This window comes from Homo sapiens, chromosome 18, assembly GCF_000001405.40.
Source record: "Homo sapiens chromosome 18, GRCh38.p14 Primary Assembly".
Taxonomy (NCBI): Eukaryota; Metazoa; Chordata; class Mammalia; order Primates; family Hominidae; genus Homo; species Homo sapiens.
In genome coordinates this window covers 6024747-6047304 of record NC_000018.10, presented here as the reverse complement: position 1 = coordinate 6047304, position 22558 = coordinate 6024747, and the positions used below count along the sequence as shown (strand labels likewise).

The 22558-nt window shown below is 39.3% G+C and overlaps 1 protein-coding gene across 23 annotated transcripts in view; it reads left to right on the top strand.

Annotated features, from left to right (window-relative positions):
- The window catches only part of L3MBTL4 (L3MBTL histone methyl-lysine binding protein 4), a 460543-nt gene that overhangs the window by 367955 nt on the left and 70030 nt on the right, over positions 1-22558 (top strand). For 9 of the 23 annotated variants that reach the window (XM_047437914.1, NM_173464.4, XM_011525757.2 and 6 more), the window contains one exon: positions 551-577. The exons of 13 other annotated variants lie outside the window; for them this stretch is intronic. In XM_047437914.1, the coding sequence (XP_047293870.1) occupies positions 551-577 (27 nt within the window). Of the gene's footprint in view, positions 1-550; positions 578-15029; positions 17922-22558 lie in introns of those variants that run through there. One more of the 23 variants, NM_001365767.2, reaches the window with a different exon arrangement.

Sequence of the window (22558 nt, the reverse complement as noted above, 5' to 3'; positions counted from 1 at the left end):
TTGGCTGTGAATCCATCTGCTCCAGGGCTTTTTTTGGTTGGTAAGATTTTTATTACCAGTTCAATTTTGGGACTAGATGTTGGTCTGCTCAAGGTTTCAATTTCTTCCTGATTCAATCTGGGGAGGTTATGTGTTTCCAGGAATACATCAGTTTCCTCTAGATTTTCCAGATTGTGTGCATAGAGATGTTCATAATAGTCTCTGAGGATTTTTTTTTATTTCCGTGGGATTGGTTGTAGTGTCATCTATGTCATTTCTGATTGTGCTTATTTGGATTTTCTGTTTCTTTGTTAATTTAGCTAGCTGTCTATCAATCTTGTTTATCTGTTCAAATAACTAACTTTTGGTTTGTTGATTCTTTGTATGTATGTTTGGGTCTAAATTTTGTTCAGTTCTGCTCTGATTTTAGTCAATTCTTTTCTTCTGCTAGTTTTGGGGTTAGTTTATACTTGTTTTTCTAGTTCCTCTAGATGTGATATTAGATTGTTAGTTTGAGATCTTGCTAACTTTTTGAGGTAAGTGTTTATGTCATAAACTTTTCTCTTCACAGTGCTTGTGCTGCATCCCAGAGGTTTGGGTAAGTTGTATCTCTGTTTTCATTTATTTCAAAGACTTTTTTTTACTTCTGCCTTAGTTTTGTTATTTACCTAAAAGTCATTCAGGTGCAAGTTTTCTAATTTCCATGTAATGTGTGGTTTTGGGAGATCTTGGTATTGATTTCTATTTTAATTCCACCGTGGTCTGAGAGTACTGTTGGTATGATTACTAATTTTTTTTAATTTATTGAGACTTGCTTTATGGCCAATCATGTAGTTTATCTTGGAATGTGTTCTGTGTGCAAATGAGAATAATGCATATTCTGTTTTGATTGGTGGAGTATTCTGTAGATGCCTATTAGGTCTACTTGGTCAACTATCAAATTCAAGTCCAGAATTTATTTGTTAGTTTTCTGCCTTGATGATCTGTCTAACACTGTCAGTGGCATGTTAAAGTCCTCCAGTACTATTGTGGGATGGTGTAAGTCTTTCTGTAGGTCTAGAAGTAGTTGTTTCATGAATCTGGGTGCCCCAGTGTTGGGTGCATATGTGTTTAGGATAGCTAAGTCTTCTAGTTGACTTGAACTCTTTATCATTATGTAATACCCTACTTTGCCATCCACTTTTTTTTTAACTGTTGTTGGTTTAAAGTCTGTTTTATCTAATATGGGAATAACAACCTCTGCTATTCTTATATTATTTTTGTTTCCTGCTTGCATGATAGATCTTTCTCCACCTCTTTACTTTGATTCTGTGGGTGTCATTATGTGTCAGATGGGCCTCTTGAAGAGAGCAGATGGAATTATCATGTTTCTTTGTCCAATTTGCAACTCTGTGCCTTCTAAGTGGAGAGTTTTAGACTATTTGCATTCAGGGTTAATGTTGATATATGAGATTTTGATCCTACTGCGAAGTTGTTAGCTGGTTGCTTTGTAGTTCCTATTGTGTGGTTGCTTTTTAGGGTCTATGGGCTATGTACATAACTGTGTTTTTGTGGTAGAAGATATTGTTCTTTAATTTCCATGTGTAGGCTTCTGATGTAGTTTGGCTGTGTCCTTACCCAAATCTCATCTTGAATTCCCACATGTTGTGGGAGGGACCCAGTGGGAGGTGACTGAGTCATGGAGGCAGGTCTTTCCTATGCTGTTCTCATGATGGTGAGTCTCATGAGGTCTGATGATTTTAAAAATGGGAGATTCCCTGCACAAACCGTCTTTGCCTGCTGCCATCCACATAAGATGTGACTTGCTCCTCCTTGCCTTCCACCGTAATTATGAGGCCTCCCCAGCCACGTGGAACTGTAAGTCCAATAAACTTCTTTCTTTTGTAAATTGCCCAGTCTCAGGTATGTCCTTATCAGCCACGTGAAAACAGATTAATACACCTTCCTTAAGGATCTCTTGTAAGGCTGGTCTAGATGCAACAAATTCCTTAGCAGTTGCTTATATGGAAAAGATTTTATTTCTTCTTTGCCTTTGAAGTTTAATTTGGTGAGATACGAAATTCTTGGTTGAAATATCTTTTACTTAAGAGTGCTGAAAGTAGGCCCCCAATCCCTTTTGGCTCATAAGGTTTCTGCTGAACGGTCTGCTGTTAGCCTGATGGGGTTCCCTCTGTATATGATCTGGTGCAAAGTTACTTTTCTGAAACTGTACTTTAATAATACAAACTGCAAAGCCACTATTGTTTTTGCTTTCTTCTTTTCCAAGCACTAGTCAGAAAAATGGAGAAAGGAAGGAAAAAAGGATGCAAGGCTTATGAGCTATAGTGGTGGTTGTCAGCTAGAACTGTTGTCCACCAGCAGGTGGCCTGAGGGCTTATTAAGACACTTAGTAAGTCTTCTGGGGAGATGTAAAGTAAATGCACAGGAAAATAGATTGTGGAGAGTTGAACTGGAAAAAATAGCTTAGTTATTTGAAAGCAAAATTCTATGGTCTTTAGGTACAAAAGTTACTCTTCTAATAAACCACTTAAGGATGGGAAGAAGACATGGTGAAGGCAGGGCAGACCTCTTCTGTGCTAGGCTTCATGGTGCTTATTCCCACAGCTCTCCAAGATGACTCATATTTTTTTCTTCCCCTCCTCTTCTTCCTCTTTTTCTTCCTTGTTCCCTCCCTGTTTTCCCCTTTCTTTTTCTTTTCTTTTAACCATGGAGAAACTGCAGTGCAGAGAGTGTAGATAACCTTCATAGTCCCACACAACTCATGGCTGGCTACTGGCACCAACACCTCTACTTCTTATTCACCATGGAAGCCAGCATGTTGGCTAGTGTCCTGTTTGGCAGCAGAGGCTGGAGTCTCCAACGTTAGTTAACTCCACTTGAGAAACACCTTCTTACATGCCAGTTTGAGACAAAAAAAGAGATAGATAGGGCAGTTCCCCACCACATCCATTTGTGACCATGGCATGAACACAGACTCAAATGAAAGATGTGTATTTTCATCAGAGGGTAAGGAATCATCGACGTGTTTTCACTTTGCTTCAGAGAACTAGTGCTGTATATCAATATTAATGTTCTTTTAGCACATTTTTATACAGATTATTCTTAAAGCAGTCATCTGAGCACTTATATTCCAAACACAATTCCGAATCTTGCCTACTCCCAAGGTCCCCTAAAAACAAAAGTAGCTATCCCTTACTAATGCTCTTGAGAAGACATTCATATTTAAACTTTGATTCAATGAATATACATTATAAAATAATGAACCTGCTAAAGGATCCTTTTACTCAAGTCTTTTGCTCAGCCATTCAACATATATTTTATGGAGCAAGTACCCTGTGTGCAAAACTGAATTTCAGACAGTCAACCAAACTGTAGTGAGGTCAAAGGAAAGAAATACAGAAGTGCATGATTTTTTAGGGGAAAAGCTTTGGAAAATCCTGGTCATGAGAAGTGAGATTTAAAAAGTCATTTTCCTATAATTTAACTCAAAAACATAGATCTGTATTTGCATTGTGGTTAAGAGCACAAGTATTGGAGCTCATTCATTCATTTATTTAATAAACATTTATAGATAATCTACTACTTAGTAAGTACTGTGTTAGGCATTGGGGTACATTGCTTACCCAAACCAGGTATCGAACCTGTCTTCACTGAATCTTACATTGTAGTGGGGCAGATAGATTAATCGATTGACCGTATTGAAAGACATCAACCTGCACCTGTGGCAGTGCTATAATGAAGATTGCATAGGAGGCTCTTAAGAGCCTATTTATTCCAAAGATATTTAATATAATTGAGGAATTGAGATGAAATTGCTGGAGGAAGTGATATCTGATCTAATATATAAGGGATGAGCAGCAGGTGATGAGGCCTGGGGAGGGAAGAAAGAGCCTAGCACGGAGAGCAGCATGCATGGCCTGTCAAGGTGAACAGTAGAATCCCAGGCCTGGAATACTGCCTGTGGGGAGAGAGTGAGTGGCTCTGAGGAAAGCAAGTCTCAAATTGAACCGAGACAGGGAGAGTCTGGCCTTTGTTCTGAATACAGTGGTGAGGCATCCACAAGTTTAAAGCAGGGAGAGTAAATGATCAGGGAGTGGACAGAACAGATACACATTGATCAGCTGGAAACCCACTGAAGTGTCCTAGGATGGAGGTAATGATGCTCAGACTTGTGCAGTGGTATAGAAAAGATGAAGAGGATACATTCAAGATGTATTTCAGAGGTGAGCATCAACAGGACTTGGATAATGGGGGTGTGAGACAGGAAGTATTAAGGATGGCTTGGACAACTGAATAGATGGGGGTGCTTTTCACTAAGATAAGGAAGCTTGAAAAGGATTAGGTTTGGGATTTGGAGATAGCAGGAGAAGGGATGAGAATATTGAGTTACGTCTTAATGTGTACCATTTTGAGAGGCCTTTGAGAAAGCCAAGAGGAAATGTCAAGTAGCAAGGATATGGGTCAGAACCTCTGAAGTGAGGTTTGAGCGGGAGATTAACATTTGCAGATAGTGTGCACAGAGGTGGCAGTTGAACTCCTGCATCTGGATGTGATTGCTTAGCAAAAGGGTGTTCCAGAAAGGCCTAGACCTAAGACCTGAGAGACTAACACTCAAAGGCTTGGCCAAAGGAAGAAGGGTTTGACTGGAAAGGCAGGAGGAGAGGCAAAGGCCACTGTTTCCCAAGTACGGAGAGAAAAAGCTAGAGGAAAAAGAGGTCTCAGTACTGGACAATGCTGAGGGCTCATGTAGGACGGAAAACCCATTGTGTTGGATTGAATAACATTGAGGTCTTTGGGGACACTGGTGAAAGCTGTGGCAGAGTCATGGGTCAGATTGAGTGATTGAGGGTGGGGTAGGTGGGAGGTATGGAAGTGGCTGAGAAGTTCAGGGGAGAGAGGGTGAGGACTGGAGGCAGGTGTGGATTTACGTGCTTGGTGTGTGTGTATGTGTCTGTGTGTGTGCACGTATGTGTGTGTGTATGTTTTGTAAGTGAGGGCACTTAGTGTTCCAGTGTCAATGGGAAGGATCCTGGTGAGAAGGAGAGGTTGAACTTACCCAAGACAGAAGGGTCATTGAGGTCATAAGGTTTCTGAGACAACTCAAGAGATGGGATTAACCTTGGGTGGGAGGAGGAACGGCTTCTGTAAACTTTGAATTAGTGAGGTATCTCACTTTGGTGGCTTCTATTTTCTCTGTAAAGCATGAGGCCACATCCTCTGTGGGGAGGGCTTGGGGAGGTATGGCAGTTGGGGAAACCTGTATGGGAATATTGAAGGAAGCGGAAGTTCGAAATGGTTCACAGATGGCCGGGTGGTAGTTCATGCCCATAATCCCACTACTTTGGGAGGCCAAGGCAGGAGGATCACTTGAAGCCAAGAGTTCAAGACCAGCCTGGGCAACGTAGTGAGACCCCCATCCATACCAAAAAAAAAATTAGCCAGGCATGGTGGCACACACCTATAGTCCCAGCTACTCAGGAGGTTGAGATGGGAAGATCACTTGAGCCTGGGAGGTTCAGGCTGTAGTAAGCCACAGTTGTGCCATTGAACTCCCGCCTAGGCAACAGGGTGAGACCCCATCTAAAAAAAATAAAAGAAGAATGAAACAGTCCACTGGGCGCATAGAAAAGCAGGTAAACCAAAGCAAGGGTATATAGTGTGGCTGCGAGTGCTGGACCTCTCTGTGCTTGGTAAGCAGGAACCATTTGTGGACACGTTCTGCCTTCATGACAGCCTATGCACGCACAGGAAGAGCAGGTAGTGAGGCTCTTCCCGACTGCCATTTTTGCCAAATGATCACAAAGAAAAGACAGAGAAATAAGGGGATGTGGAGCATTTGCAAGACAAAAAAAAAAAAAAAAAAGTCAATTTCAGCCTAAGCTGAAGAAAAGGACAATGAAGAAAGAAGATTAATAGGTTGGAGAAATTAGGGGGGGCCAGTCCATTGAAGACCCCAATGGGTGCTCACCTGTTGGAAGCAAGTTGGTGAAGACGAGATGGCAGATGTGGTGGGCATGGCCTGAGATTCACTCTGCAGCATGCTCACCTGGGCAGTAAGGTAGATCCAGAAGCGGCTGGCTCCACAGCTGCAGGCCCAATGGCAGGGATCTCCTGGTTCCACCACTGATAGACTGCATGTACTGGGCAGTCCGCCCCCATCTCCAGACCTTAGTGTCCTTGCTGAGATTTGGGGCCAGCTATGCCATCTTTTCAGGTTGGGAGGATTGAATAATGTGATAGAGGTGAAACAGCACAACCCCTGACTCCTGATTGGGAATCTGTCAAAAGTGTCAGCCACTGCTATTTCTTTGTTGTGACACATTTTCTGAACAGATCACAAGTTTTGCTGTTGTTCTTGTTTTACTTTTTTAAATTCTAGGAATCAAGGCAAAAAACAACTCAAATTTTATAGAAATTATGTGATTTGTAAATATATTATTATGTTGACTTAATCTCCTCCCCTGTGACCCTACAACTGAGAGTGGAGAGCAGAAGGCCAGCCATGGGAATGGCAGGATAAGGGTCGAGTGGAGCCAAGAATAGGATGGTTTAGGGGCTTGCCACCTTCAGGTGTCTCTCTTTCTCAGACTAGGACTAATGTAGGTTCTTTTCATAAACCTTGAAATGAAGGTTTCAAGCACTGAGTGACTTAAGCCACTCAAAGGACTCCTTGTCTCAAAAGAGATGTGAGTAAAAAGTTTACTCATTTAGGTTTATGTACTTGTCTATCACCCACACTCAACAGAGATGGGACTGAATTATATTTATCTTTGTATATACAGACCCACGGCAGGTACTCAGTAATTGTTTGCAGTATGGAGTAGACTGTAATTAGTAAAGTTTTTGGTTCTGTAATGGATTGGTGCAGGATATCTCTATCTCAATGCTATAGACATTTTGGGTCAGATAATTCTTAATTATTGGAACAGGATATATAGCAGCATCCCTGGTTTCTACCCGCTAGATGCCAGAGGCAACCCTCCCACCCCAAGATGTGACAACCAAAAGTGCTTCTGGATATTGCTGAATATCTCCAGGATGAAGGGGACAAAATTGCTTCTGGTTGAAAGACCACTGGTTTAGAGGAAATCTTTAATGTGATCTCTTGTGTTGAATTTTTAAAAGTTTATTTATTTATTTGCACAGGAAAAAAAAATGAACTACAATTCAAAATACCTTGCAGGGTATATTTCTGAGAAGTAAGATTCCAAGTATTTTTAATTTCTTTCTATATTCTTCTGGCCTTTTGAAATTTCTCATGTTTCCTACTGTACATGCATTACTCTTATAAGTTGAAAGGGAGAGAATGAAAAAAGTTTAATATTTGAAAACGAGTTTTTGAAAATACATAATTTTTCCTGCTATCCTGACATTCTCGATAATCATATTACTTAAGCTAATGAACATTGTGTTATTTTTATTATTGTAAGTTTTGTTTCATCGTCTAATTTTTCAGATACTTTTACTTATTTATTTCAATCAGCAGTATCATAATCAACTATTAATTCTAGTTCTAGATATTGGTACAAAGTCATTGGTTAGCCAGGCACTGGAGTTTAGTTTCAAAGACACTTGACCCTTTTCTAGAAAGGCGGAAGCTTACCCAGCATGAAGGGACTTTGAGATAACCACGCTGGTCAAGTGTCACTGTGAGAGGCTTAGGGCCCAGGAAACAGGATGGAAGAGGGTATGCGTGTATGTGTGTGCATAAATCCACTGGCATACTTAATTTTTAAAATATCAGTCAACTAAGAGAATCTGCACAACTCCAAATAAGAGAAATATCCAAAAGAAAGGATCTAGGGCACTCTTTCCTTACCCTTTCATTTGCATTGGTTTAAATTGGGGGAAACTCAAAAAGTGAAGGCTCTTTTCTTTAGCACAGACATTCAGAAAGGGATTGGGGTGAATAGTCCTTAGAGAATATGTGGGAAGATAAAGAGCCGACTCTAGCATTAAAATGTGGGTGGAGCAGCGTATTTTCTTTTTAAAAGCAGAGAAAATTTTCTTATTTTTCCTTCAGTGTTTTAATCACAGGCAATCCTAGATAGCAACTGTATTAGTCAGCTCAGGCTGCCAAGACAGAATACCACAGTCTGGGTGGCTTTATCAACAGAAATTTACTTTTCACAGTTGTGGAGGCTAGAAGGTCAAGATCACAGTTTGGGGAGGGTAGGTTTGATTCTGGGGCCTCTTCTCTTGGCTTGTAGACTACTACCATCTGTCTGTGTGCTCCTGTGACCTCTTCTTTGTATGTGTATGCATGGGGCTGGGGGAGAGAGGGTTGGGGAAGAGGGAGGAAGGGAGGTTGGGGGAGAGAGAAAGAAAGAGAGAGAGTAGGTGCTCTCTGGTGTCTTTTCTTATAGGGCACTAATCCCATCATGAGGGATCCACCCTTATGACCCCATATAACCCCTAATTTCCTTCCCAAATCCTCATCTCCAAAAACCGTAGGGGGTTAAGATTTCACCATATGAATTTTGGGGGAACACAGACATTCAATCCACAATACCTAATTAATGATAACATGCAAAAATGGGTGACAAAATTGCTAATTATTTATGAGGCAAAGACTGTCAAGTTTTCTCTTGAATAATATTTGTAGTTCAGTGGAATGTAGGCATTTTTGTTGTTGTTGTTTTTTATTTCTCTTAGATGCCTCCTCACATTGCTGCACTATACTTCTTAACAGAAGTGCCGCTCTCCCCCATCAATGTTGCTGTCTTTTACTAGGATCACCAAGTCAGGTTACCAGTCAAAAAATGATCCAGAGGCCAGGTGCAGTGGCTTATGCCTGTAATCCCAGCACTTTGGGAGGCCGAGGCAGGAGGATCATGAGGTCAGGAGATCGAGACCATCCTGGCTAACACAGTGAAACCCCGTCTCTACTAAAAATACAAAAAAGTTAACCGGTCGCGGTGGCGGACGCCTATAGTCCCAACTACTCCGGAGGCTGAGGCAGGAGAATGGCGTGAACCCGAGAGGCGGAGCTTGCAGTGAGCCGAGATTGCATCACTGCACTCCAGCTTGGGCGACAGAGCAAGACTCTGTCTCAAAAAAAAAAAAAAAAAAAAGATCCAGAAATGGATTTCTAGTATCCTCTAGAATTTTTTTCTGGTATCTCTGTTAAAAATATGTCTAAGTAAGTTATTTTATCTGCATCAATATTGATTAAATCTCATTGTGACATAAATATTCAATCAGTATCCCTGCCCTTCTCTCTCTGTCATTGAACTAGAACATTACACAGATACTTCCCACTCCTTTTTTATCCACTTATCTTAACCTGTTCCAAAGTACGTATTCTCCTGTCTGTGGGTGCAAGAGTTATTTCACCCCGTTATCCTCTCTCCAAGTTATCCTATCAACTTCTTTCTTCCCAGTGCCAATTACTCATCAGGAGCCTACTCCTCCTTTTATTTCCCTGTTCAGAGCAACCAGCACTTTAATACATTAGCCAAACATCTAAATATTCCCTAATATTTATTATTAAGCCTCTCCTATATGATTTCAAATGTCATTATGCAGAAGGACAGAGTAAAATTTTCTAAACCACAATCCTTTAAGCCTGTGTTAACAGAGGCTACAGTTGGTTGCAGTTATGTTGGCTATAGTTACACATTTGTGTTCTACCAGTTATCTGTTTGCATACTGCAAGCAGAATACTTCACCTGTTAGTAGATGTGAAGCTAATTTAACCCGAGATTTACAGAAATCAAGTTTCTAGTCTTGCATTATACTTCCAAGGGAAGTGCCCTGCACAAATTTCCATGTAGAGCGTGGTGGCCTTTTTTAATGAATTTCTCCACTGCAAGAATGAGATGCTTCTTGGGAGAAGATTCTGGAAGATACTGGAGTAGGAATCACTAGGAATCCTCCCTTTGTAGACAATAACTGCACTGGCAGAATCTGTCTGATGCAATTGTTTTGGAACTCCAGAGTCTTGGAGTCTATCAAAGCCTTGCAACTTCCAGAGAAAGGCTTGCTTGGACAATAAATAGTGGTTAACATGGTAAACTGCAGTTACGTTCAGTCGTTCCACCTCTTATCTTAGCACAGTAGTAGTTACCCATTTCACACTCCCACCCCTGTGGCAGGCAGGTATGCATGCGTTCCTGGAGCAGCTTACACACTGCTCGTGGGAGCAAGGGTGGGCAAAAAGGGTCTTGTCTTCCAAAGGTCAGGGATCTGTGCTCTGACTGCTGATTGCTGCTTCCGATCACAGAAGTGCAAAGAGGTGGTGAGCATTGTTGTCACATCTCCCCGCATTGTTGCAAGCCCCACCAACTGAAGTGACTCAGGGAATATAAAAAGCCAGTGCACTTTTATTTTTTACCCCCTTCCCGTCATTTTTCTCTTTTCTTCTTTTGGGACCAGACATTAAAGACTAAAACATCCAAAAGCAACCATGTGTATGGAGAAGTTAGAAAATGACTATGTATGGCCCGGGAAAGGTACAGGCCCAGGAAAGACCTAAGGAGACCTTATGTTTATACCTCAGGCTAATCCTTGGCACAGAGACAGCCTACAACAATCAAACAACAACAATTTTAAATATAAAAAATTAGCAAACTCTGGGGAAAGAATCTGATTTCCAGAGTCACCACATTTTAGATTTAAATGCTCAGTTTTCAATAAGTAATCACAAAACTTACAAGAAACAGGAAAGTTTGGCTCATTCAAATGAATAAAAATAAGTCAATAAGAAAATGTGCCTGAAAAAGAGCCTGATGAGATTTCCACCAAAGACTTTAAAGCAACTGTCTTCAAGATGTTCAAAGTAGGGGAAGATGTAGAGAAACTCAAGAGAACAATGTATTAACAAAATGGAAATATCAATAGAGAAATAGAAAACCTAAAAAGAAACCAAAAAGAAATTTTGAAGCTGAAAAGCACAATAGCTGAAGTGAAAATTTTACTAGAGGGCTTCAAAGGGAGATTTGAGCAGGAAAAAAAAACAGAATCAGCAAACTTGAAGTTAGGATAGTAGAAATTATTGAGTCTGAGATTCAGCTTATGCATTGTGAGAATTTCAGAGGATGAAAGAGAGAAAGGGGTATAGAGAATGTTTAAAGAAATAATTGCTGAGAATTTCCAAAATTAGTAGAAGACATGAATATAAACATCCAAGAAGCTCAATGAACTCTAAGAGAAACTCAAAGATCCAAACCGAAACACTAATCGTACTTTCAAAAGACAGAGAATGTTGAAAGCAGCAAGAAAGAGGCATCACATACAAGGGATCCTTAAGCTTATCCTCAAATTTCTCGTCAGAAACCTTGGTGGCCAGAGATAATGGGCCAATATTCAGTACTAAAAAACACAAAGATACTGTCAACCAAGAATTTTTCATCCAGAAATACCATCCTTTAAAAGCAAGGGAGGTTTTAGTTATTTCTTGCCTTCTGCTAGCTTTTGAATGTGTTTGCTCTTGCTTTTCTAGTTCTTTTAATTGTGATGTTAGGGTGTCAATTTTGGATCTTTCCTGCTTTCTCTTGTGGGCATTTAGTGCTATAAATTTCCCTCTACACACTGTTTTGCATGCTCATGGGTAGGAAGAATCAATATCGTGAAAATGGCCATACTGCTCAAGGTAATTTACAGATTCAATGCCATCCCCATCAAGCTACCAATGACTTTCTTCACAGAATTGGAAAAAACTACTTTAAAGTTCATATGGAACCAAAAAAGAGCCTGCATCACCAAGTCAATCCTAAGCCAAAAGAACAAAGCCAGAGGCATCACACTACCTGACTTCAAACTATACTACAAGGCTACAGTAACCAAAACAGCATGGTACTGGTACCAAAACAGAGATATAGATCAATGGAACAGAACAGAGCCCTCAGAAATAACGCCGCATATCTACAACTATCTGATCTTTGACAAACCTGAGAAAAACAAGCAATGGGGAAAGGATTCCCTATTTAATAAATGGTGCTGGGAAAACTGGCTAGCCATATGTACAAAGCTGAAACTGGATCCCTTCCTTACACCTTATACAAAATTCAATTCAAGATGGACTAAAGACTTAAACGTTAGACCTAAAACCATAAAAACCCTAGAAGAAAACCTAGGCATTACCATTCAGGACATAGGCATGGGCAAGGACTTCATGTCTAAAACAGCAAAAGCAATGGCAACAAAAGCCAAAATTGACAAATGGGATCTAATTAAACTAAAGAGCTTCTGCACAGCAAAAGAAACTACCATCAGAGTGAACAGGCAACCCACAAAATGGGAGAAAATTTTCGCAACCTACTCATCTGACAAAGGGCTAATATCCAGAATCTACAATGAATTCAAACAAATTTACAAGAAAAAAACAAACAACCCCATCAAAAAGTGGGCAAAGGACATGAACAGACACTTCTCAAAAGAAGACATTTATGCAGCCAAAAAACACATGAAAAAATGCTCATCATCACTGGCCATCAGAGAAATGCAAATCAAAACCACAATGAGATACCATCTCACACCAGTTAGAATGGCAATCATTAAAAAGTCAGGAAACAACAGGTGCTGGAGAGGATGTGGAGAAATAGGAACACTTTTACACTGTTGGTGGGACTGTAAACTAGTTCAACCCTTGTGGAAGTCAGTGTGGCGAGTCCTCAGGGATCTAAGACTAGAAATACCATTTGACCCAGCCATCCCATTACTGGGTATATACCCAAAGGACTATAAATCATGCTGCTATAAAGACACATGCACACGTATGTTTATTGTGGCACTATTTACAATAGCAAAGACTTGGAACCAACCCAAATGTCCAACAATGATAGACTGGATTAAGAAAATGTGGCACATATACACCATGGAATACTATGCAGCCATAAAAAATGATGAGTTCATGTCGTTTGTAGGGACAGGGATGAAATTGCAAATCATCATTCTCAGTAAACTATCACAAGAACAAAAAACCAAACACCGCATATTCTTACTCATAGGTGGGAATTGAACAATGAGAACACATGGACACAGGAAAGGGAACTTCACACTCTGGGGACTGTTGTGGGGTGGGGGGAGCGGGGAGGGATAACATTGGGAGATATACCTAATGCTAGATGACGAGTTAGTGGGTGCAGCGCACCAGCATGGCACATGTATACATATGTAACTAACCTGCACATTGTGCACATGTACCTAAAACTTAAAGTATAATAATAATTAAAAAAAAAAGCGAGGGAGAAATTAAGACATTCCCTTATAAACAAAACTGAGGGAGTTCATAACCACCAGACGTGCCCTGCAAGAAATGCTCAAAGAAGTCCTGCACATTGAAATGAAAAGACACTAGAGAGTGATTCAAAGCCATGTGAAGAAATAAAGATCTCAATAAAGGTAAATACCTTAAACAACTATAATAGGTAGTCTTAGTATAACAATGGTTTGTAACTCCATATTTTTTCACAACTTAACAGACTATGCATTTAAAATAATTAGTTTATGGTTTGGGGCATACAGTGTATAAAGATATAATTTTGGAACATCAACAACCAAAAAGGGTGAGAGCAGAGTTTTTGTGTGTCATCGGACTTAAGCTGATATAAATTTAAAGTGCTGTAACTTTAGTAATCCTATAGCAACCACAAAGAAAACAGCTATAGAATATACACAAAAGAAAGTGGAAAAGGATTTTTTGCAACATTTCATTACAAAAACTCAACTAAACGTTAATGAGAGTAATATAGGAAGTAGGAAAACAAAACTAATGTAATTGTAATTACAAGAAATGTAATCGTAATTACAAGTAATGTAATCGTAATTACATGTAATATAATTGTAATGCAATTGTAAGGCACATGAAAAACTAGTAGCAAGATGACGTAAGTCTCTATCACTAATTATTTTAGATGTAAACAGATTAAACTCTCCAATCAAAAGACAGAGGTTGGCAGAATAGGTTTAAAAGAAAAACGAGATCCAACTATATGCTGTCTTCAAAAGACTCACTTTAGATCCAAAGACACAAGAGATTAAAAATAAAAAGATGGAAAAGGCATTTCATGCAAATAGTTACCAAAAGAGAGCAGAGGTAGCTATGCTAATACCAGAAGAAAATAGATCATAAAATGTTACAATAGGCAAAGACATTATATATTAATAAAATATTTAATACCACAAAAGGATATAACAATTATAAACATTTGTGCACCTAATAACAGACCATCAAAACATATAAAACAAAAACTGAAAGAATGGAAGGGAGAAGTAGACAGTTATATGGTAATAATGGATGGAAAAATCACACATACATAAGGAAATAGAGGACTTAACACAATGAAGCAGCTATCTAACCGATACATACAGGACACTACCCAACAGCGGCATACAGTCTTCTTAAGTGCACAAGAAACATTCTCCAGGACAAAACATAGGTTAGGTCACAAATTAAGTCAAAATGAGGCATATACATACAACGGAATATTATTCAGCCTAACAAAGGAAGGCAATTTGCACATATGCTACAAAACGGATGAACTGTGAGATGAAATAAGCCAGTAACAAAAAGACAAATACTTTATGATTCCACTCATATGAGGTACTTATAATAGTCAAAATCATAGAGACAGAAAGTAGAGTGGGGCTTGCCAGGGCTGGGAGGAGGGGAGAATGGAGAATTGTTTACTGGGTCAGAGTTTGAGTTTAACATGTTGAAGAGTTCTAGAGATGGATGGCAGTGATGGTTGCATAACATTAGGGATGTATTTAATACCACTGAACTATATACTTAAAATGGTTAAGACGGTAAATATTGTGTGTATTTTACCACAATAAAAAAAAAACAGGATAAAAAACAATTCAACAGTACAGTACAAAGGACCCCATGTGCTGATTACCAGCCCCCACAATCACAACCCGTGGTCAGTTCTGCCCCCCTCGACCTGTATTATTTTGATGCAGATTGTGTGTGTGTGTGTGTGTGTGTGTGTGTGTAACATATTTCATGAAAACGCAGATTCCATTCAGTGATATAAAACAGCACATCATAAGCTTTTTTGCACGTAACTTGTTGTTAGTTCTTTTTTTTTTTTTTTTAATTTAAGGCCGAGTGCGGTGGCTCATGCCTGTAATCCCAGCACTTTGGGAGGCCGAGGCAGGCAGATCACGAGATCAGGAGATCAAGACCATCCTGGCCAACGCAGTGAAACCCCGTCTCTACCAAAAATACAAAAAATTAGCCAGGCGTGGTGGCGGGTGCCTATAGTCCCACCTACTGGGGAAGCTGAGGCAGGAGAATTGCTTGAACCTGGGAGGCAGAGATTACACTGACCTGAGATTGCACCACTGCACTCCAGCCTGGGCAACAGAGCAAGACTCCGTCTCAAAAAAAAAAAGAAAGAAAGAAAAAATGGTGGAAAGGGTGGAGAAATTCCTTTTAATGGGTACAAACCACACAATGCAGGTGACCATTACTCTAAAAGCCCAGGCTTCATCACTATGCAATATATCTGTGTAACAAAACTGTACTTGTGCCTGCTAAATCTGTGAAATTAAAAAAAAAAAAAAACCATGAATCTGATTTGCCTTTAGTCACCAGATGACTGCAGATAGGCACACAGAGGTGTGAGACAGCACTTTCCATTTGCCCTTCATCTCTTGTTCCTCTGCCATTCCCCATGAAGCCGTGCTGGGGCTGACCTGCTGGAGGATGAGACCTGTGAAGCTGAGTCAGCTGCCCTGGTCATCCCAGCCAAGGCCATGTCCTCTCTGCTCAGCCAACAACTGTCCAACAAACATGTGAATGAGCCCTGCTGAAATCAGAACTGACCGGCCCACCTGAGCCTAAATTCCTGACAAACAGATGTGTGAACTAAGTAAATACTTAAAAAAATGAGATGCTGATGGTCCCTGAATTTCTCAAGAGGCAAAGAATGGTCCCACCTCGCAACTTATAAATGTTCAGAAGTTAGACGGCCACAAAGAAGTAGCACCTCATATACATTCTCTTGCTATCTACAATAAGGTGAAGGAAGGCATTTATCTTCTCTGCAACCAGAAAACCTATAACCCAAATGCCCAGGAACACAAGAACACTGTTCACCATTCTGCTGTGCTTATTAGCAGAAGATATATCAGCTCACAAAATCCCCTTTGAAACAGAAACTAAAATAATGCTCAATGATCATTCTACTCCCACGGGGGAGGAGGGAGAGGAGCATAAATCAGGACAAGAGCTGGGTTTAGAACTTGGATCACGTGTGGCTTTTCTCCATGATCACAAACCCCAGCTTCCTATAATTAATAATTGGATGTATTAAGTGTTTTATGGAGCAGTCCAGCCAGAGAGCAACTATAAAATGGAAACATGGACCAGCTTGGTAAAGGGAAAGATGAAATTGTAGAATTAATTTGTTTGTTCGTTCATTGAGTATTTCATAACAATAAACTTATTGTATTTATAAAGGGAAAAACCTCTGGGTGTAATTTGGCTGCCTGGTTGTTTATATCCTACAGTGCAGTTTCAGTATGTTTCATGTTAGTGTGCCTGTTTTAAAATGTTTTACTTCATTATCGTAAGACGTTTTTAATGCAATGAAACTTCAAGCCAGAAAAATCTTAGAAAATTAACGAAATAGGGAGTAGAGAGAAATGGAGATAGCATTAAACTAAATACAAAGAAAAAATTGAAACAAATTTTTTTATTTGACAAAAATTAGCCGGGTGTGGTGGCAGGCACCTGTAATCCCAGCTACTCAGGAAGCTGAGGCGAGAGAATCGCTTGAACCTGGGAGGTGGAGGCAGTGAGCTGAGATCGTGCCACTGTACATCACCAGCCTGGGCGACAGAGTGAGACTCCTTCTCCAAAAAAAAAAAAAAGAGTCTCTTCATTAAAATAAACCTAATACTTCACTTGTTTAGTAAAGCAATGCAAATTAATACCTGATGATAAAGTCAGAAGATGTATATATGTTTGTGTTCCTGCTTTCTTTCATTTCACAGTCTAATTCTCCCAGACTAGGATTTTTGCTAGCTATTTGTTCTATCACCCAGAATTTTGAGAAGGCTTAAAAGCATATTATTGATTTGTGCATTTGGTGCAAAATTCAACAGGTATAAGGGGGTATCTCTCCCTGAACCTGATCCTCAGCCTTCAGTTTCCTCCCTTGGAATAATCACTGTATACTTCTCTTGTGTGTCTTTCTAAAAATATGTTCTGTTTATTTAAATATATGTGTGTATGTGTATTTACACAAGTGATGGCATACCACATACATTGTTAAACAGTTTCCTCGTGTCCTTTAGCAATAAAATCTGACGAGCAGTTCTTAACACATGGAGCGGCACACTATAAGTGACCAGTCCCTGCCCATGGCCATCTGGATGGTTTTCATGTTGCTGTGTAAAGGAGGCTTCAAAGTGTCTTCTGTAGGTGTCAGCTTGACTGGAAAATAAAAAGTGTCTTCTGTACTCATCACTCATGCTTGTGAGAATCTACAGGATAGATTCTGTGTGTGAATCTATCCTATTCTAATCCTTTTCGGCATTTCCTCAGCTACCCTTACTCGTTCATTTTTCCAAATGAACTTTAATATCAGTTTTTCTGGTACAACTTTTTTCCATTCCAGTTGGTTAATTTTTGGATTGCAATAAATTTATGATTTAACTTTTAATTTTACCCTTTGTGAACTTGACCATAGTAAGCTGTTCCCATACTCAAATATTTCCTGTCCTGTAATTGCATTTTAAGTTTTCCTTTATGTAGAACTTGCGTCCTTCTTACGAAGTTTATTCCTAAGCAGTTTATCGTTTTTGTTGCTGCAATAAATGGACGTATTTCTTCCTTGATGTCCTCCACCTAAGATTGTCTGTATGGAAAGATTGTATATTTCTGTGTATTACATTTAATCCTGCCACTGTAATCTCTTCTAATTTGTAATTTTTTTCATGTAATTATTTTGGGTTTCTAGGTAAATAAACATGTCACCTACAAATAATTGTCATTTTACCTATTGAAAGTTCTTTATTCTAATTTTCCCCTTGAACTGAAATATCTTAATTACTTTATAATAGTGTATTTAAGCATACTCCTGGGCAGACAGGGTCAGGGCCCTCTGCGATTGTAGGTGACTGTGTCTCCTGTGTGGCCAGCAAGAACCCTCTAATGCCTTCACTTAATTCTACTTTTGCTTTAATTTTAGTTCTGTTGGCTGTTCTTTTATTTGCTGATAGAAATTACAGTAATTCAATCCTCATATTTGTTTAGTGTTAAAGAACAGTGGGTGAGAAGTAGTCATGGTTTCGGTGATTTAAACTTTCACTTTTTAGGTTTCTTTACAAATTCTGTTTAACATTCAGAGAAAGCAAAATAAGTCACAGCAGTTTAAAATTATCCAGTTTAAAAGGTATGGAGTATTATTTTAATATTGAGTCTATTTTACTCTGGTCTTATTATCTGAAAACTGATAATCTTGTGGGGAACCGAATTAATTCTTTTCTTTCTTCTATAACTTAATTCAGTGGTGACTCCAGTATCACAATGCTGTTAAGTCTCATTAGTATAAACACTAGCTGTGAACTCCCATTCACAATTGCTACAATGAGAATAAAATACCTGGGAATACAAGTTGTGAAGGACCTCTTCAAGAAGAACTACAAACCACTGCTCAAGGAAATAAGAGAGGACACAAACAAATGGAAAAACATTCCATGCTTATGGATAGGAAGAATCAATATCATGAAAATGGCCATACTGCCCAAAGTAATTTATGGATTCAATGCTATTCCCATTAAGCTACCATTGACTTTCTTCACAGAATTAGATAAAACTACTTTAAATTTCATATGGAACCAGAAAAGAGCCCATATATCCAAGACAATCCTAAGCAGAAAGAACTAAGCTGGAGGCATCACGCTACCTGACTTCAAACTATACTGCAAGGCTACAGTAACTGAAACAGCATGGTACTGTTACCAAAACAGATATAAGGTCTGATGGAACAGAGCAGAGACCTCAGAAATAACACCACACATCTACAACCATTTGATCTTCAACAAACCTGACAAAACAACAATGGGAAAGGATTCCCTATTTAATAAATGGTGCTGGGAAACTGGCTAACTGTATGCAAAAAACAGAAACTGGACCCCTTCCTTACACCTTATACAAAAATTAACTCAAGATGGATTAATTAAGACTTAAACGTAAAACCCAAAACCATAAAAACCCTAGAAGAAAACCTGGGCAATACCATTCACGACATATACATGGGCAAAGACTTCATGACTAAAACATCAACAGCAATTGCAACAAAAGCCAAAATTGACAAATGGGATCTAGTCAAACAAAAGAGCTTCTGCACAATGCAAGAAATTATCATCAGAGTGAGTAGGCAACCTACAGAATGGGAGAAAATTTTTGCAAACTACCCATCTAACAAAGGTCTAATATCCAGAATTTACAAGGAACTTAAACAAATTTATGAGAAAAAATCAAACAACCCCATCAAAAAGTGGGCAAAGGATATGAACAGACACTTCTCTAAAGAAGACATTTCTGCGGACAACAAACATATGAAAAAAGCTTATCATCACTGGTCATTAGAGAAATGCAAATAAAAACCACAGTGAGATACCATCTCACGCCAGTTAGAATGGTGATCATTAAAAAGTCAGGAAACAACAGATGCTGAAGAGGCTGTGGAGAAATAGGAATGTTTTTACACTGTTGGTGGGAGCGTGAATTAGTTCAACCGTTGTGGAAGACAGTGTGGCAATTCCTCAAGGATCAAGAACCAGAAATACCATTTGACCCAGCAATCCCATTACTGGGTTTACACCCAAAGAATTATAAATCATTCTACCATAAAGACACATGCACACATATGTTTATTGCAGCACTATTTACAGTAGCAAAGACTTAGAACCAACCCAAATGTCCATCAATGATAGACTGGACAAAGAAAATGTGGCACATATGGACCATGGAATACTATGCACCCATAAACATGAGTGAGTTCATGTCCTTTGCAGGGACCATGCATGAAGCTGGAAGCCATTATTCTTAGCAAACTAACACGGGAACAGAAAACCAAACATGGCATGTTCTCACTCATAGGTGGGAGTTGAACAATGAGAACACATGGACACAGGGAGGGGAACATCATACAGTAGCACCTGTTGCGGGGGTGGGGTCAAGGGAGGGAGAGCATTAGGACAAATACCTAATGCATGTGGGGCTTAAAACCTAGATAATGAATTGATTGGTGCAGCAAACCACCATGGCACATGTATACCTGTGTAAAAACCTGCACGTTCTGCACATGTATCCCAGAACTTAAAGTAAAAAACAAACAAACAAACAAAACACCAGCTGTTTTACTGGTGAGTGGATGTGCAAGTTAATTAAGATTCCTGGTTGCAAGAATATTAATAATCTAGGTTTTATTGTTGTTAAATTTAACATAACATGAGGAAAATTAAGGCAATAAATTATAGATTTGATCTTAGCTTAGAAACCAATTCGTTATGTGACCTTTGGTAAGCCATTTAACCTCTCTACTTAGATATTTTCAACTTATGAATGTGACTGTTATTAAACATTCAATATTAAAGTAAATGTTAATTAATATTCAATATTCAACCCCTTATGTTTGTAATCATACTCTCAGTCACTATTATAAGTCCTCACTAAACAGCCCATGGTGTTGATAGTGTTACTCAGTGTGGTTATTCTGATCCTCACGTGACATTTTAGATGTTGAAATTGAATAGGTGTTCATGACTTCTTCCTTAGCTCTTCAGCAGATTGAGGGAGTGGCTGGGATTAAAACCCACAGTCATATGTTTTTAATCACCTGCTGTCTTTAGCTCACCGTAAGTTCATCAGACTGTCTCCCACAGCTTATTGTCTACCACTTTCTCAGGAAGTTGGTAAAGATTAACTCTTACTTCTTGCTAAAGTCATTACAAATTGGAAATGTTGAATAATACAAATACAAGTTGACCTCCTGGAGATAAGACACTGGCATTGTAAAACACAGTGATGATATTGTAAAATATTTTAACTAAGGAAAATAACCCCACTTGAAATAATGGTCAAAGGGGCACCCACCTAATTTTCTTTAAATTCTATATACCAAGCCTTTTCCTTTCTTCTAATCTAGGACACCAGAATTTGTCTTTTGTTCTAACCATACTTTGTTATGATGTCCTATTTTTATATTTCTAAGGCTAAAAGAATGTTCATTGTAGAAAGAATCAATGGGAGGAAAAGACACATGAGAGAAGTCAGTCGTATCATGATGAATCTGCCAATTTACTGAGTTTTTGTTCATCTGCAGCTGACGTAGTTTAAGTGATAATGTATGACCAACATTTTTTACCCTAACAGCCATCAGATAGATAGAAGCAAAATATTCACTAAAATTTTAGAACAGGGGTCCCCAACCTACAGGCCATGGACAGGTACTGGCCCAAGGCCTTTTAGGAACCAGGCTGCGCAGCAGGAAGTGAGCGGCAGGCTGGTGAGCATTACTGCCTGAGCTCCACCTCCTGTCAGATCAGCGATGGCATTAGATTCTCATAGGAGCGTGAACCCTATTGTGAACTGCACATGCGAGGGATCTAGGTTGCACACTCCATATGGGACTCTAATGCCTAATGACCTGCGATGCAACAGTTTTATCCCAAAACCACCCCTCGCCCAAGCCCCTGTCTGTGGAAAAAATGTCTTCCACGAATCTGGTCCCTGGTGCCAAAAAGATTGGGAACCACTGTTTTAGAATATAGAGCAGCAGTCCTGAAACTAATCAGCAATACAAAACTACACATAGTAAAGGTCTGGAAGAGTTAAACAGAGTGAATGTTTTTAGAAATGGAGAAAAACTGAAATATATTCACACACAAATGCATTAATCAGACACTGATAGCATGAAAAGGCGTAGGCATGTCTGAAGTTTATGATTTGTTTTGAAAAGATGAGATGAACCTTGGTTTTCATTCGATGCGGTGAGGTCTGTGGGGTTTGGGGCCAGTGGATGCCCTGTCTGAATTTAGAGACCTCTCAAAGGAGAGGCAGAGGTGACTCTTCTTAACCAAAAAGATAGTGTCTTTAAAGTAGATATTTTTGTGACATTTACCTGGGCGATCAGTGCTGCAGCTATCCAATGGATGCTTAGCTATGTGTTCCAGTTCTGGAATGTCATTTTTCCAGGATGATGTCTTGTTTTGTTTTTACCAGAACCAGGATGCTTGTTTTCTCATGCTCTCTGCAAAATTGTAACTTTACTGAGGAATTTGGAGAGATCCTATCAGTATGATCTCCCTGAGGTGCTGAGAGGAGGTGCTGATGGGAAGTCATGAGTAAACAGGGAAAAGAAAAGCCTCTTGGAAGGGAGGGCTATAAATTATTTTTAAACCCCCTCTGTGATTATTTAGCTAAATGCAGGAGGCGTAGTGAACTTTATTTTCAAGTGTGTGACCTTTTCACAGTCATAAACTGCATACCAGAATGTGCAGTGGTTTTAATTAACCACCCTGTTGTGTGAAACCAAAAACCAAACTGAATATGAGGGTCTTTTTTAATACTCATTGATTTGAGTAATTAGAAAAAAAAGGAAGCATTGTAAGCAGC